Raw genomic sequence first — 14,741 nt, forward strand, 5'->3', positions numbered from 1 at the left:
TTGGTGGCTCACGCCTTTAGTCCCAGCTACTCAGAAGACTGAGGCAGGAGAATCGCTTGAACCAGGGAGGCGGAGGTTGCAGTGAACCAAGATCGCACCACTGCACCCCAGCCTGGGAGACTCCATCTCAAAAAAAAAAAAAAAAATTAGCTGGGCATGGTGGCGGGCGCCTGTAGTCCCAACTACTTGGGAGGCTGAGGTGGGAGAATTGCTTGAAGATGGGAAGTGAAGGTTGCAGTGAGCCGAGATCGTGTCATTGCACTCCAGCCTTGGTTACAAAAGTGAGACTCTGTCTAAAAAAAAAAAAGTCAAGACTGGCAGGGCAGGATGGTTCACAGCTGTAATCCCAACACTTTGGGAGGCTGAGGCTGGCAGATTGCTTGAGTCCAGGAGTTTGAGACCAGACTGGGTGACATGACAAAACCCTGTCTCTACAAAAAAATTAGCCCATGCCTGTAGTCCCAACTACTTGGCAGGCTGAGATGGGAGGGTCACTTGGGCCTGGGAGACAGAGGTTGCAGTGAGTTGAGACTGCACCACCGCACTCCAGCCTGAGTGACAGAGTGAGACCCTGTCTCAAAATAATAATAAAACAATAATCATCTTTTAAAAGTTAAGATTACAACAAATCTAGTTTACAGATCTTAACTTTTATTCATGATTCTAATTATTATTATTATTATTATTATTATTATTATTATTATTAGAGACGTGGTCTCACTTTGTCACCCAGGCTGGATTGCAGAGGTGAGATCACAGCTCACTGCAACCTTGAATTTCTGGGCTCAAGGGATCCTCCTTCTACCTCAGCCTCCCAAGTAGCTAAAACTACAGGCACATGCCACCATGCCTGGCTAATGTTTTATTTTTTGTAAAGATGAGGTCTCACTATGTTGCTCAGGCTGGTCTTGATCCTCTAGCCCCAGCCTCCCAAAGTGTTGGAATTCCAGGTGTGAGTCATCCTGGCCTACTAATGAGTCTAAAATTGGGAGTCCCTCAGAACCAGGACAGGTTCAAAGGGCTTCAGCCAGTAACACAGTCAGAGTGTTTATGGATGTAAAACAGAAGTAAGCTATAGAGCTTAATTGGTTACAGTGTTTGCTTTGTTTGAATCAGTTGGCCACCTAAGATCTACTAAAGCTCAGCTGCTATAACTGACAAAAACTCAGCTATTTGCTACATGTATATACTCTTAAGTTAATTAGTTTCATTTACCATGAATGACTCCATATTGGTTTGGTCTGTTGGACCCGGTACAGGGGTCTTGTCCCAATCAATGGCCTCCTGCAAATTTTATTTAACAGGCAGAAAAGGGGAGATGATAGAAAGATCTCTTCATCTGCCTGCTGCTTCTTAATTGCCTTAAGTTCAAAAATATTTACGTCAAAGAGGTATATTTTGGGGGGACATATTCTGGTTTCCTTCATGGGGATCAAAGAGAACAATATGTAAGGCACATCTTAGCGCTTGACAACTTGGCATGCCTCCATTCTCCCGGCAGCATCTTGCATAGTAAAAAGCATGATTTGAATTGCTGTCAGCAAATACATATTCAATGAAGAATTCCTTTGGAAGATGCAAAACCATTCGTCATCTGGCTGTTTCTTGAAACAAACTCTAAAGACCAGAGGGCAGCGTTGAAAGTGCAGCCTAGCAAAAGCATGGTTAAGGCCAGGTGTTAGGAAACCTTAGGACGGGCCGCTCCCTCAGGACAGGCTGCTCACTCGGCCGTCAGAGTTCCTTCTGAAACGTCCATTTGTCTTCTGGCTCTTGGCATCCTTGAAACAGGCTAGAGACCGCTGCTAAGGCTCAGTAATCTGAGCCTGGGGTAAGCAAGAGGCTGTGAGCCTCAGACACTCCACTAGAAAGGATATACTAGTGTGCATTCCTGGGGACAGGCCCAACGTTCCTTCCAAAAGGGACCTGTGGTCCTTCCTGGCTCCTCTGCAAGTGTCCACTGGAGAACACAGAATCTGCAGCCTGCATCTTAGAAAACCTGGACCAGGCCGGGCGCAGTGGCTTATGCCTGTAATCCCAGCACTTTGGGAGGCTGAGGCGGGCAGATCACCCGAGGCCTGAGTGTGAGACCAGCCTGGCCAACATGGTGAAACCTCGTCTCTACTAAAAAATACAAAAATTAACCAGCCATGGTGGCACGCATCTGCAGTCCCAGCTACTTGGGAGGCTGAGGCATGAGAGTCGCTTGAACCCGGGAGGCCAAGGTGGCAGTGAGCCAAGATCATGCCACTGCACTCCAGCCTGGGTGACAGAGCAAGACCCTGTCTCAACAAACAAACAAACAAACAAAAAAAGCAAAAACAAAAAAAACTGGAACAATTGAGCAAGCCACTCCATCTTACCCAAGCCCTCTCCCCTTTCCTGGCTGGAATAACGGCCTCTGGGCCTCTCTCTCGCTCTTTTTCTTTTTTTTTCAAAGCAGAATCTCACTCCATCACCCAGGCTGGAGTGCAGTGGCACAGTTATGGCTCACTGCAGTCTCAACCTCCAGGGCTCAGGTGATCCTCCCACCTCAGCCTCCCGAGAATCTGGAACTACAGGTGCACACCACTAAACCCGGCTAATTTTTTCTATTTTTTTGTAGAGACTGGGTTTTGCCATATCACCCAGGCTGGTCTCAAACTCCTGGCCTCAAGGGATCCTCCAGCCTCGTCCTCCCAAAGTGCTGGGACTACAGGCCTGAGCCATCATGCCTGGCCTGGGCCTCTGCTTATTGCAGCCTCTGGAGCCAGCACGGGGCCCAAGGTGGTCCTGAGAGGCCCAGGCATCTCTTGGGTAGAAAAAGTCCTTCTCTAAGCCTCAGATCCCTCATCTGTCCAAGGGACCAATAACAGCTGCTTTACTTCCCAGGCTGGATTGAAGAGGGTCCTTTAAGCCATTGTTTCACTAAGCAATTGACTGGCTCACCCTTCACCCTATCCTGGGAGGGCATGAAGCCACTGTTGTAATCTCAGGGGTGGGCTCACCCACCACCCCCATACTCTTGGTCCACCAAAGCCTGGAGGTCGCTGCTGTCAACCCAGGGCTGAGCAAGGAGGGACTTAGGCCCTGGGCTGTCTCCCCGAGCCTCTCAGTCATGCCTGCTGTAGGGGAGGAGAGAGTGGCCTCCCTCTACCCTCTAAATTCCTTGGCTGGGCTCCACATTAAATTTACATAAGGCAGATTAACAAGAGAAAAACCATGTGTAACTAAGACCTATGCATGGGAATCCCACAAAATACAAGACTGGATGAAGGCTCAGATGAATAAAGCTCATATAACATCCTACAAGGGACAGGAAACATTCCTTCAGAAAGGAATAGGGCTTGGGTCAGGTGTGGTGGTTCACGCCTGTAATCCCAGCACTTTGGGAGCCTGAGGCGGGTGGATCATGAGGTCAGGAGTTCAAGACCAGCCTGGTGAACATGGCGAAACCCCACCTCTACTAAAAATACAAAAATTAGCCAGGCACGGTGGTGTGCACCTATAGTCCCAGCTACTCAGGAGGCTGAGGCAGGAGAATTGCTTGAACCCAGGAGGCTGAGGCTGTGGTGAGCCAAGATCACGCCACTGCACTCCAGCCTGGGCAACAGAACAAGATTCCTCAAAATAAACAAAACAAAGAAACAAAACAACAAAAAACAAACAAAAAAACATGAAAATCAGCTGGGTGTCGTGGCGTGTGCCTGTAATCCCAGCTACTTGGGAGGCTGAGGTAGGAGAATTGCTTGAACCCAGGATGCAGAGATTGCAGTGAGCCGAGATGGCACCACTGCATTCCAGCCTGGACAACAGAGCAAGACTGTCTCAAAAAAAAGAAAAGAAAAAAGAAAAAGAAAGAAAAGAAAAGAAAAAAAGGAATAGAGGCTTGGGATCCTGGGGAGGTGGTACACAAGTTAAGGGAGAGTGAGGGGAGAGAGGGTAAGGTGAATGAAGCTTGTCTTCTTATGCGGATAAAATTTCTCAGGTAAGAAAAGTTAGCTCTGAGCAGCCCTCCGCCTGATACTAATACTTTACCAATGGAGATTTTCCTTTTCTTTTCTGTTTTTGAGACAGGGTCTCACTTTGTTTCCCAGGCTGGAGTGCAGTGGTGCCATCATGGATCACTGCAGCCTCCATTTCCCTGGCTCAAGCCATCCTCCCACCTCAGCCTCCCGAGTAGCTGGGACTACAAGGTGTGCACCACCACGACTGGCTAATTTTTAATTTTTTTGTAGAGACGGGGGTTTCCCTATGTTGCCCAGGCTGGCTTGAATTCCTGGGCTCAAGTGATCCTCCCGCCTCGGCCTCCCAAATTGCTGGGATTGCAGGAGTGAGCCACAGTGCCAGGCCTGGAGATTTTCTTTATAGATAGAAATCATTTTACAAAAGGACAGCTTTTCAGATCTACTCCTGTGCCTGCAGTTTCTAAGAATAATCCCTTCAAAATATGGCGAAGAAGTATATTTTGGGGTGGCACACGCTGGTCTCCCATAGTCACATTTTGGGTGTGTGTCCTGAGCCCCAACACTGGTCACCTCGCAATGGCGCTTGGGGTCCCTGGGTGCCTAGAGCTGCAGGTTACCCCCTCTTCTTCTCCTGCTCTCAGCCTTTCTCCCGCTCCTGCTGAAATTCTTTCCTGCGTGAAGGCGGAGCGCTTAAAGGCGCCTAGGACCTTTATTTCGTTGTTTTCCTTTGCATAAAAAGAAAACTTGTTTTGTAGAAGGGCAAGCAAGGTGCAGCTTCCAGAGGCACCTGGGATGATGCCCCTCTAGCGGTAGGCGAACTGGGGAGTGTGGGCGGCGGGGGAAGGCGAGGCCCTGGAGGACCTGTTGTTTTTCCTGTTGCAAGTGAAAAGGAAACAAAGTGGGAAGTGGAGTGTGCGGGTTGGCGGCAGGCGGGGCGCCCCGGCGCGCCCCGCCTCCCTCCCTCGAGGCTCACTCGCGCCCAGCGCAGTCGCTCCGAGCGGCCGCGAGCAGAGCCGCCCAGCCCTGCCAGCTGCGCCGGGACGGTAAGCGATCGCCGCTGGCTGCGTCAGGGGAGGTGGGAAGAGGACCGCGGCCAGGGGCTTTGGGAGCTGCGGCTGCGCTCGGGGGCGCGGGGCTGGCTGGCGGGCGTCTCTCCGGCACACACAGCCCGTGCGCCCTGGCCCTGGGCGCCTCCCCGAGTCTAGCGAGCCGGGTCCTGGGAGCCCCGGGGGCCGGGCTGCTGGGACCTGGGCGGGGGCTGCCCTAGAGGCCCGGGGCCGTCCCCCGTGGGCCCGCCGAGAGGGGCGTGCGCAGCTCCCCGGCGCCTGCACTGCGCGCCTTGCCCGCCTGGCCCGGCAGCGGGGTTTCAGCTGCGCTCACAGCGGCGGTGCGGCCTCCGGTGCGCCGGCTGAGGCGCGAGGATACTGGAAGCGCTCAGCGCGTGCGCCCGCTCCGAGCGCTGACTAGAGGACCAGGGGCCTCCTCTGTACGGCAGCGGGGTCCACAGAGAGCGCGCTGGTGATGTCGCCCGAGTGCCCTGGCGCGGAGAGAGGGCTGCGCACAGTTCGCCGGCGCCCGGGTCCTGTGCGCCCTTCCCAGCCTGGGCAAGTGGGGAGCGGGGCTGCAGAGGGGCCGGGGTGGAAGTTTTCGGGGCTTCCTCCCGGCTCGTGGACCCGCGCCCCGCCTCCCAGTCCCGGGCCTCCCGCGTTGCTCGCCGCGTTTGCTGCAGCGGCGCAGGCGAGATCAGCTCCGGATCTGCGGCCGAGCCGGGGTTACGCCGGCAAAACCGCCCCCAGCTTTGCATTTCCGGACTTTTTAAAAAAATACTCTTACCCGTAATTCAGCCTGAATGAGGCTTTTTAAAAAAATCGAGTTTCCTGTTTTTATTTAGGCTTCCTCATTTGCACCTCCTCCTTTGAGGTAGAGAAGAGGGGAACTGGGACGACCTTTCGTGGGCACCAGGATGGGGGCGTTGCAGGGCGGGGAGACGGGGGTCCAGAGAACCGGGGAAGGGCCGCTGGGAGGTCCCGAAAAGTGCGCTGTGGGTGGGGCGAGGGTGAAGCAGGTAGGGGCGAGATTTCCGGGGTCGCGGGTGGGGGGCGCCCTGGAGCGGCCAAGGTGCAGGGTCCTCGCGTGGCACCCTTGGGATCTGCCCAGTTTGCGGATGGAGCGCGGGGCTGATCGGGCAGGTCTCACTTGTGCAGGTGTTCCCTGGAAGGTGGGACCTGCAGATCTTGAACCCCACCAGACTCCATCAAGGGGGCTTCTTCCCGCCGATTCCTGAGAAGTCCTACCTCTGAGATGCTGGGCACAGCCGCACGTGGATGTGGGCGGGTGTGCCGTGGGTTGGAGTGGGAAGGGGCAATTATTCCTCTCTCAGGGCTCTCGGAGGGGAAGGTTTACTGCTCCCTAGGGACTTTGAAACCAAGGGCTAACCCCCTGCTCTCTTCCAGGAGAGTGGGATACCGCCCGGGTGCCTGACGGTGCCTTGGTGTTCTTGACAATTGAATGGTACCATCGGGACATTACTCCCCAAAGAACTGGTCGTTCTTACCTAGGTGATTTCAGCTGGACAACTGTAGGAGCTGAGTGGTGTTGTCTTCATTTTACAGTTAAGGAAACGAAGGCTCAGAAAAGTTAAATAACTCACCAACCCACACAGTTTACAAGTAGTTTCTCCAGGATCCCAGCTCTTTCCGACGCCAGCGCGTTTAATCATCTGGGGGTGCCGTTGCTTGCGGGGGAAGGAGAATGTCCTAGTAATTCTCTTGGGGGGGATTTGGAGGGGACGACTGTTCAGAGAGGCACCCTCTAAGATACCCTTGAGACTCCTCTGTAACACCCGCTGCTGCTGTTCACACCCCCTCCCCAATTTGATTGATGTGTTGAGTGGGGCGGAAGGTTCTTTTGGTTGATGAGGCTGCGACCAAACGCAAGGAGATATAAATAGAGCTTTCTCTTTGGCTCTCTCTAGAGCAGAAATGCCAACCCCTTAGCATTTCCATGGCCTGCTGGAGTTTCATTTCTTGATATTAGGATTCCAGCCATCTTGGCTGGTGAGAGGCCTGCTGGCGGCTTCCTGGGCTTGGTCCTCTTTTGGTGCTTTCACAGAATGATGGAAGACACTGGAGTGGGCTGGAGGAGTGCTCTTAAAACCCAGTTGTGGCTGAGAGCGGTAGCTCATACCTGTCATCCCAGTGCTTTGGGAGGCCCAGACGGGAGGATCACTTGAAGCCAGGAGTTCAAGGTTGCAGTAAGCTATTACAGTGCCACTGCGCTCCAGCCTGGGTGACAGAGCAAGAGCCCATCTCTGAGAAACATAATACAACAACCCAGTTGCCTGCTCCAGAGACAACTAAGCTAGCCTCCTTCTGAGCCCCACTTCCCCCGCCCTTCAGCCCCTGTTCAGAAACAGACTACATTGGCCACACTACTCACTTAGATGTTTCTGGAATTAGGGCACGTGCCCCAGAGGTACTCCCGACCACGCAGATGTCCCCTTCTGGCAGGAAAAGCGCGTTTCTGCGTTTCTGCAGCCTCAGTCCACGCCGCCAGGTCTTTGCACTAAGCTGTGGGCTCCGTTTCTCCTCCGATACCATGTTTAGCAAGTGTTTCCTGAGATCACACGGGGTGCCAGGGGCTGTGCTAAGAACAGGGCAGGCAGACTGGGAGGGCATCAGCCCCTGGGGGGCTTACAGGACAGACAGTCCACCAATGGTTGTGCGAAAGCCAGCCCGCTTTCGCACAACTGTCCGATGGAATTCATGGAGGTGGGAGTGGGGATGGTGAGAGTCGGTTCCTGCTTCATCTTGTTTTACTTAAATTGCACAGTGAAAGGGAGAAGTGAATGTGCAACGGATGAAGCAATTCCCCTTTGGCTGGGTTATTTTCAAAACCATTTTTGTGTAGAGAGCAGTTCCCGCCCTCCCTGAGGCCAGCTGCCGGTGTGGGCCTGATGGTGGGGTTTGGGGCCCCAGCAAATGTTTCCTTAACGTGGGACCTTCAGAAGGCTCTTTCAGGCTGGGCGCGGTGGCTCACGCCTGTAATTCCAGCACTTTGGGAGGCCGAGGTGGGCGGATCACTTGAGGTCAGGAGTTCAAGACCATCTTGGCCAACATGGTGAATATCTGTCTCTACGAAAAATGCAAAAAAAAAAAATTAGCTGGGCGTGGTGATGAGCACCTGTAATCCCAGCTACTTGGGAGGTGGAGGCAGGAGAATCGCTTCAATCCGGGAGGTGGAGGTTGCAGTGTGCTGAGATTGTGCCACTGCACTCCAGCCTGGGCAACAGAGTGAGACTACATTTCAAAAAAAAAAAAAAGAAAAAAAAGCTCTTTCAGCCAGGAGGGTGGCTTCAGCTACTCCCCAGGGGACAAGTGTGTTTTTCAGCAAAGCTGTTAGAGAAGATGGTCTAGAAGCAGTACCCCGGGATGGAGGAGACAAGGAAGGGCCCTATCCACTGGAGGATGGCAGAGCCTGGCTTGTTTGAAAGGGAGGAAAATATTGTCATCTTGGTACCGGTGACAGTGTTTCATAAATAGCGAAGGTGGCAAAACGCCACCTCTCTCCCTACAGTTAACGCTAAGACTGAGTTGTCTTTAGTTTGGTTGGTGGAAATCCCCGGCAATCATAGCAGAAATGCTGCCAGTTTCAAGATGGAAAAAATAAAAAACCCAGGAACCCCCCGCCCCCCCCCCTTTTTTATTGCAGCTAAACACTGTGACTTGCTGTGGGTCCTACCAAAATAACGGCCATTCTCCCCTCCCTGAGGGCCAGCACAGTCCCTAGGGCCTGTGAAAGTTCCCCTTCCAGCTGCACTGGCTGGATATGCGTGAAACTCCCCTCCCTCCCCAGAAGTCACAACCTTACCACCTCGGATAAGGGTCAGGGCTCCTGGAAATGGGTCCCTTTTCCTATTACTTTCTTTCTTTTTTCTTCTTTTTTTTTTTTTTTTTTGAGACGGAGTCTCGCTTTGTCGCCCAGGCTGGAGTGCAATGGTGTGATCTCGGCCCACTGCAACCTCTGCCTCCAGGTTCAAGCGATTCTCCCACCTCAGCCTCCTGAGTAGCTGGAATTACAGATGTGCGCCACTATGGCCAGCTATTTTTAGTATTTTTAGCAGTGACGGTGTTTTGCCATGTTGGCCAGGCTGGTCTCGAACTCCTGACCTTAGGTGATCTGCCCACCTTGGCCTCCCAGAGCGCTAGGATTAAAGGCGTGAGCCACCATGCGCGGCCTTCCTATTACATTCTGAGCACAGGGGGAGTGATCAGAGTGAAGGGTGTGGCATTTCCAAAGTGGTATTTCGGTTGGCTTCTGTTTCACTCATATTGGGGGAAATTGCTTCCACTTAGAGAAAATGCCGGAAGAGTGGGCGGTGCCAGGAGTAGGGTGGGGGAGGAGGAGATGCAGAAAGGGATAGACCTATTTGGGATTTTTGGTCCTGGAGGGATGCTGTACGGGTTAAGTATCCCTTATCCAAAATGCTTGGGACCAGAAATGGGGTGGAGTTTGGATTTTGGAATATTTGCATTATATGCTTACCAACTGACCATTCCAAATCCAAATATCTGACATCTGAAATGCTCCAAGGAGCTTTGTATTTGATCATGATGGCACTCAAAAATTTTGGATTTTGGAACGTTGTAGATTTCAGATTTGGGATGCTCAACCAGTGTTAACCTCCTGTGGTTGCTGTAACAAATGACCTCAAACTTTGTGGCTTAAAACAGAAACGTGCATGCTTATAGTTTCAGCTACTTGGGAGGCTGAGGTGGGAGGATCACTTGTGCCCAGGAGTTTGAGGCTGCAGTGAGCCATGATTGAGCCTGTGAGTAGCCATGGCACTACAACTTGGGCAACATTGCGAGATCCTGTCACTAAAAGAAAACAACAGCAATGGGCCGGGTGTGATAGCTCACGCCTGTAATCCCAGCACTTTGGGAGGCTGAGGCGGGTGGATCACCTGAGGTCAGGAGTTCAAGACCAGCCTGGCCAACATGGTGAAGCCCCGTCTCTACTAAAAATTCAAAAATTAGCCAGGCGTGGTGGCACGTGCCTGTAGTCCCAGCTATTCGGGAGGCTGAGACAGGAGAATTACTTGAACCCAGGAGGCAGAGGTTGTAGTGAGCTGAGATTGTGCCACTGCACTCCAGCCTGGGTGACAGAGCGAGACTCCATCTCAAAAAAAAAAAAAAAAAAAAATGTATTCTCTCACAGTTCTGGAGGCCAGAAGTTAAAAATTAAGGCATCAGCAAGGCCTCGCTCCCTCTGGGGGCTGTAGGGGGAGAATCCTGCTTTGCTCTTCCTTCTGGGGGCTCCAGCGTATCTTGGCCTGTGGCTGCATCACTCCAGTCTCTGCCTCCGTCTTCACAAGGGCATCTCCTCCGTGTGTCTGGGTCTCCGTCTGTCTCTTTTAAGGACACTTCTTGTTGGATTTAGGGCTCCCTCAGATAATTCAGATAGAAATCATTTCAAGATCCTTAACTTACTTACATCTGCAAAGACCCATTTTCCACATTATTATTTTTCCAGATAATGTCCAGGTCCTGGGGGTTAAGACCTATCTTTGTGGGGGCCACCAATCAGCCCGCTTACAGATAAACAGGAATGTCTTTCTGTATTTTCTGGGGACGGTGGGAAGTGCGGTTATCTTTGCAGGGAAGCCGCCCTGTTCTGCCACTTTCCCCTGGGTGACTTTAGGCAAAGATGTCAGAGTCCCTGGTGGTCTCTGCTGGACCATTGACCCCAGCCTCCTTCCTGCTTTCCGTTCCCCAACTTTTATGAACTGGCAGTCCCCACCTCACCCCCAACCTCCTGGGGTCCCAGGAGCAGAAAACTTCTGGAGCTCAGGAGGAGAAATGCTTCTCTTACTTTCCCTCCCCAACAAACTCCTCCCTCTTTATCTTCAACAACAGTCCCTGCCCTCCGCAGCCCATTCCCAGCCCAGGGCTACTCTCTCTCTCTCTGAGGTCACACAGCCCCTCACATTTTGAAATTTCATCTGTTGGGCAGAGGTGGGGGGAGGGCTCAGATGGTGACACAGACACTGCTCTGTTCCCACCTCTTACCCCAGGACATGGTATGGGGCTGGTGGCACTGGGAGGGGTTTGGGGAGCCCCATTAATCATTGAAGTTTGTAGGAGGGGTGGATAAGGACATGGGAGAATGATTGGGTGAGGTGCTCCAGGGCTCTCTGGAAGGGCTGGGCCCCCCCCTTGCATCAGCCACAGTGGGGGCATTGCTCTTTTCTATGTTGGTCATGAAATCTGGAAGAAGTGCTTTCTTATCAATAGAGAAGCATAATCAGCCTTGTTTTTGAAACTTTGGAAAACCATTTATGGCTGGGCATGGTGGTTCATGCTTGTATTCCTAATGCTTTGGGAAGCTAAGGAAGGAGGATCACTTGAGCCCAGGAGTTTGAGACCAGCCTGGGCAACATAGTAAGACCCCCATCTCTGCAAAAAATAAAAATAAATTAGCTGGGCCTTGTGATGCACGCCTGTAGCCCCAGCTATGTGGAAGACTGAGGTGGGAGGATTACTTGAGTCCAGGAGTTTAAGGCTGCAGTGAGCTATGGTTGCAACACTGCACTCTAGCCTGCGTGACAGAGCGAGACCCTGTCTCAAAAAAAAAAAAAAAAAAGTCATTTATGTCCAGGTGAGGGTGGGGCTGGGTGAGGTGGTGGTTTTAGGGGGATTGCCACGTGGGAGAAAATGTACTGTCTTTGGAGTCAGCTGAACTGGGTTTTTTCCCAGCCACATTTTTTTTTTTTTTTTTTTTTTTGGTGAGGCAGAGTCTCCCTGTGTCACCCAGGCTGGAGTGCAGTGGTGGGATCTTGGCTCACTGCAACCTCTGCCTCCAAGGTTCAGGAGATTCTCCTGCCTCAGCCTCCCGAGTAGCTGAGATTACAGGCACATGCCACTATACCTGGCTAATTTTTGTATTTTTAGTAGAGACAGGGTTTCGCCATATTGGCCAGGCTGGTCTCAAACTCCTGACCTCAGGTGATCTACCTGCCTCGGCCTCCCAAAGTGCTGGGCCTGGCCACCAAGCCACTTTTTATCTGCTGGGTGACCTTGGGCAAGTCACTTAACCCATCAGAACCTCAGAGTCCAGTTGTAACACTGAGACAGCAATACCTACCTGTTAGTCTTGAGGATTTTGTATATTATCCTGTGTAAAGTGCCAGGCACATAGCAATCCATGCAGTGTCTGCAAAGGAGCTGGTGTGGAGTGGATTAGAAACAGAAGTCATGTATCATCATCCCTCTAGCCCAACACAGCGGTTGCCCATTTGGGTATCCTTTCCATTAACTTCTTTTGGATGTGCATTTTAACTTAGTTGTAATTATGAGAACACATGGACACAGGGAGGGGAACAACACACACTGGGGCTTGTGAGGGTGGGGTAGGGGGTGGGAGAGCATCAGGATAAATAGCTAATGCACGCGGGGCTTAATACCTAGGTGATGGGTTGATAGGTACAGCAAACCACCGTAGCACACGTTTACCTATGCAACAAACCTGCACGTCCTGCACATGTACCCCAGCACTTAAAATAAAAAATAATTTAGTCGTAATTAGTAGGCATATGCTTTTTATCTTAATTTTCATGTTTTAATTGTAAAATATACATAACATAAAATTTACCATCTTAAGCATTTCTAAGAGCGCAGTTCTGTGGGATTTACACTATTGTGCAACCGTCACCACCGCCCACCCTCAGGCATTTTTTTCATGTTGCAAAATTGAAATTCTTTTCCCCTTAAACACTAACTCCCCTCTCCTCCCAGCCCTGGCAGCCATTCTGCTGTCTCTGTGCTTTTGACAACTCTAGGTACTGCACATGAGTGGAATCCTACAGTATTTGTCTTTTTATTACTGGCTTCATTAATTTAGCATGTTTCTTGAAGCTTAATCCGTGTGGGGGTATGTATCAGAATTTCTTTCATTTTTTAAGGCTGGACATTCCACTGTGTGTAGGTACTACATTCTTTTCTTTTTTTGAGACAGTGTCTTGCTCTGTCACCCAGGCTAGAGTGCAGTGGCATGATCTCAGCCTCACTGCAACCTCCACCTCCCTGATTCAAGCAATTCTCCTGTCTCGGCCTCCTGAGTAGCTGGAATTACAGGTACGCACCACCACACCTGGCTAATTTTTGTATTTTTTTGAGACGGATTTTTGCTCTTGTTGCCCAGGCTGGAGTGCAATGGCGCGATCTTGGCTCACCACAACCTCCGCCTCCCAGGTTTAAGTGATTCTCCTGCCTCAGCCTCCCAAGTAGCTGGGATTACAGGCATGTGCCACCACGCCCAGCTAGTTTTGTACTTTCAGCAGACGGGCTTTCACCATGTTGGTCAGGCTGGTCTCAAACTCCTGACCTAAAGCGATCTGCTCGCTCGGCCTCCCAAAGTGCTGGGATTATAGGCGTGAGCCACCGCGCCTGGCCAGGACCATGTTCTTTCGTTCCATTCACCCGATGGACACTTCTGTTGCTCCCACTCTATGGCTTTTGTGAATAATGCTGCGTTGTGAACATGGGTGGACAGAGACCTGTTGAAGTCCCTGCCTTCAGTTCTCTCAGGTATATACCCAAATTGCTGGATCATATGGTAATCCAATTTTTAATTTTTTTGAGCAGCTAGGCATGTGCTTTTGTAGTTTGCTTTTTTTCACTTAACATTGGCTCATTAACAGTTTTCCACATTGCTTCATAACCTACGCATCCTTTTTAGTGGCAGTGTAAGTGCCATTGAGCTGCTATTGGGAAGCAAGAAAAAATTACAGTCATTATACCAGTCTTAGCAAGAATTATAGTCATACCATCGTCCTTCCCACCCTTCTTGCCCAGATCCACCGGGAAAACAGAGGAATAGCACATGGGGATACTCCTTGGTGCCTCCCAGGCTGAGCGTGGGCACACACTCGGGAAGGCAGCTGAGCCACCCCTTCATGCCTTTGTCTCCCCACTTCAGACAGCCAGCCTTTCAGTCGCCAGTTCTACTTTTTTGGGTTTTTTTTTCCACTTTAGCAGTTTTAAGGAACATTTGTATATAAAATGACTTTATTCTTGCATCTTGTTAATTATTTCTTCCTTGTATTTTCCCCTTTCATTTCCTACATGGTGAGATTTGGCTTTCCATTCAAGGATTTGTTCTTGCTTTCTTTTTTCTTTCTTTTTTTTTTTTTTGAGACAGAGTCTTGCTCTGTCGCCCAGGCTGGAGTGCAACGGTGTGATCTCGGCTCACTGCAACCTCCGCCTCCCGGGTTCAAGCGATTCTCCTGCCTCAGCCTCCAGAGTAGCTGGGATTACAGGCATGCGCCACCACGCCCAGATAATTTGTGTATTTTTAGTAGAGATGGGGTTTCATCGTGTTGGACAGGCTGGTCTCGAACTCTTGACCTCAAGTGATCCACCTGCCTCAGTCTCCCAAAGTGCTGGGATTACAGACCTGAGCCACCGTGCCCGGCCACGCCCAGCTAATTTTTGTATTTTTAGTAGAGATGGGGTTTCATCATGTTGGCCAGGCTGGTCTCTAATTACTGACCTCAGGTGATCTACTCGCCTCGGCCTCCCAAAGTGCTGGGATTACAGGCCTGAGCCACTGTACCCAGCCAAGGATTTTTCTTTTCTTTTCTTTTTCCTTATAGGGTCTCATTCTGTTGCCCAGGCTAGAGTGCAGTGGTGCAATCACAGCTCACTGCAGCCTCGACTATATGGGCTCAAGTGATCCTCCTGCCTTAGCCTCTGGAGTAGCCGGGACTGTAGGTGCATGCTACCACCCCTGGCTCAT

At 51.2% G+C, this 14,741-nt stretch overlaps 1 protein-coding gene and 1 long non-coding RNA gene across 25 annotated transcripts in view, besides 3 other annotated features; one reads left to right on the plus strand and one right to left on the minus strand.

Moving 5' to 3' along the window:
- The window catches only part of PIK3CD (phosphatidylinositol-4,5-bisphosphate 3-kinase catalytic subunit delta), a 101,857-nt gene that overhangs the window by 19,558 nt on the left and 67,558 nt on the right, over positions 1-14,741 (plus strand). For 19 of the 24 annotated variants that reach the window (XM_047422552.1, XM_047422576.1, XM_047422562.1 and 16 more), the window contains exon 1: positions 4,916-4,987. The exons of the other annotated variants lie outside the window; for them this stretch is intronic. The gene's annotated coding sequence lies outside the window, so the exon portion shown is untranslated. Of the gene's footprint in view, positions 1-4,915; positions 4,988-14,741 lie in introns of those variants that run through there. 24 annotated transcript variants of the gene reach the window in all.
- Positions 4,829-5,718: a silencer, noted in NCBI's record as "silent region_228". NCBI's record gives its function as "represses an Ori minimal core promoter by ATAC-STARR-seq in GM12878 lymphoblastoid cells {active_cell/tissue: GM12878}" and the evidence as "EXISTENCE:reporter gene assay evidence [ECO:0000049][PMID:35858748]".
- PIK3CD-AS1 (PIK3CD antisense RNA 1) lies at positions 5,795-7,771 on the minus strand. Its single transcript, NR_027045.1, has 2 exons — positions 7,383-7,771; positions 5,795-7,228 (listed from the first exon to the last, which is right to left on the minus strand). It is a non-coding gene; the product is annotated as a PIK3CD antisense RNA 1 (long non-coding RNA).
- Positions 5,899-5,968: an enhancer, noted in NCBI's record as "active region_134". NCBI's record gives its function as "activates an Ori minimal core promoter by ATAC-STARR-seq in GM12878 lymphoblastoid cells {active_cell/tissue: GM12878}" and the evidence as "EXISTENCE:reporter gene assay evidence [ECO:0000049][PMID:35858748]".
- Positions 7,109-7,158: an enhancer, noted in NCBI's record as "active region_135". NCBI's record gives its function as "activates an Ori minimal core promoter by ATAC-STARR-seq in GM12878 lymphoblastoid cells {active_cell/tissue: GM12878}" and the evidence as "EXISTENCE:reporter gene assay evidence [ECO:0000049][PMID:35858748]".

The sequence above is a fragment of the Homo sapiens genome, chromosome 1 (assembly GCF_000001405.40).
Source record: "Homo sapiens chromosome 1, GRCh38.p14 Primary Assembly".
Classification (NCBI taxonomy): Eukaryota; Metazoa; Chordata; class Mammalia; order Primates; family Hominidae; genus Homo; species Homo sapiens.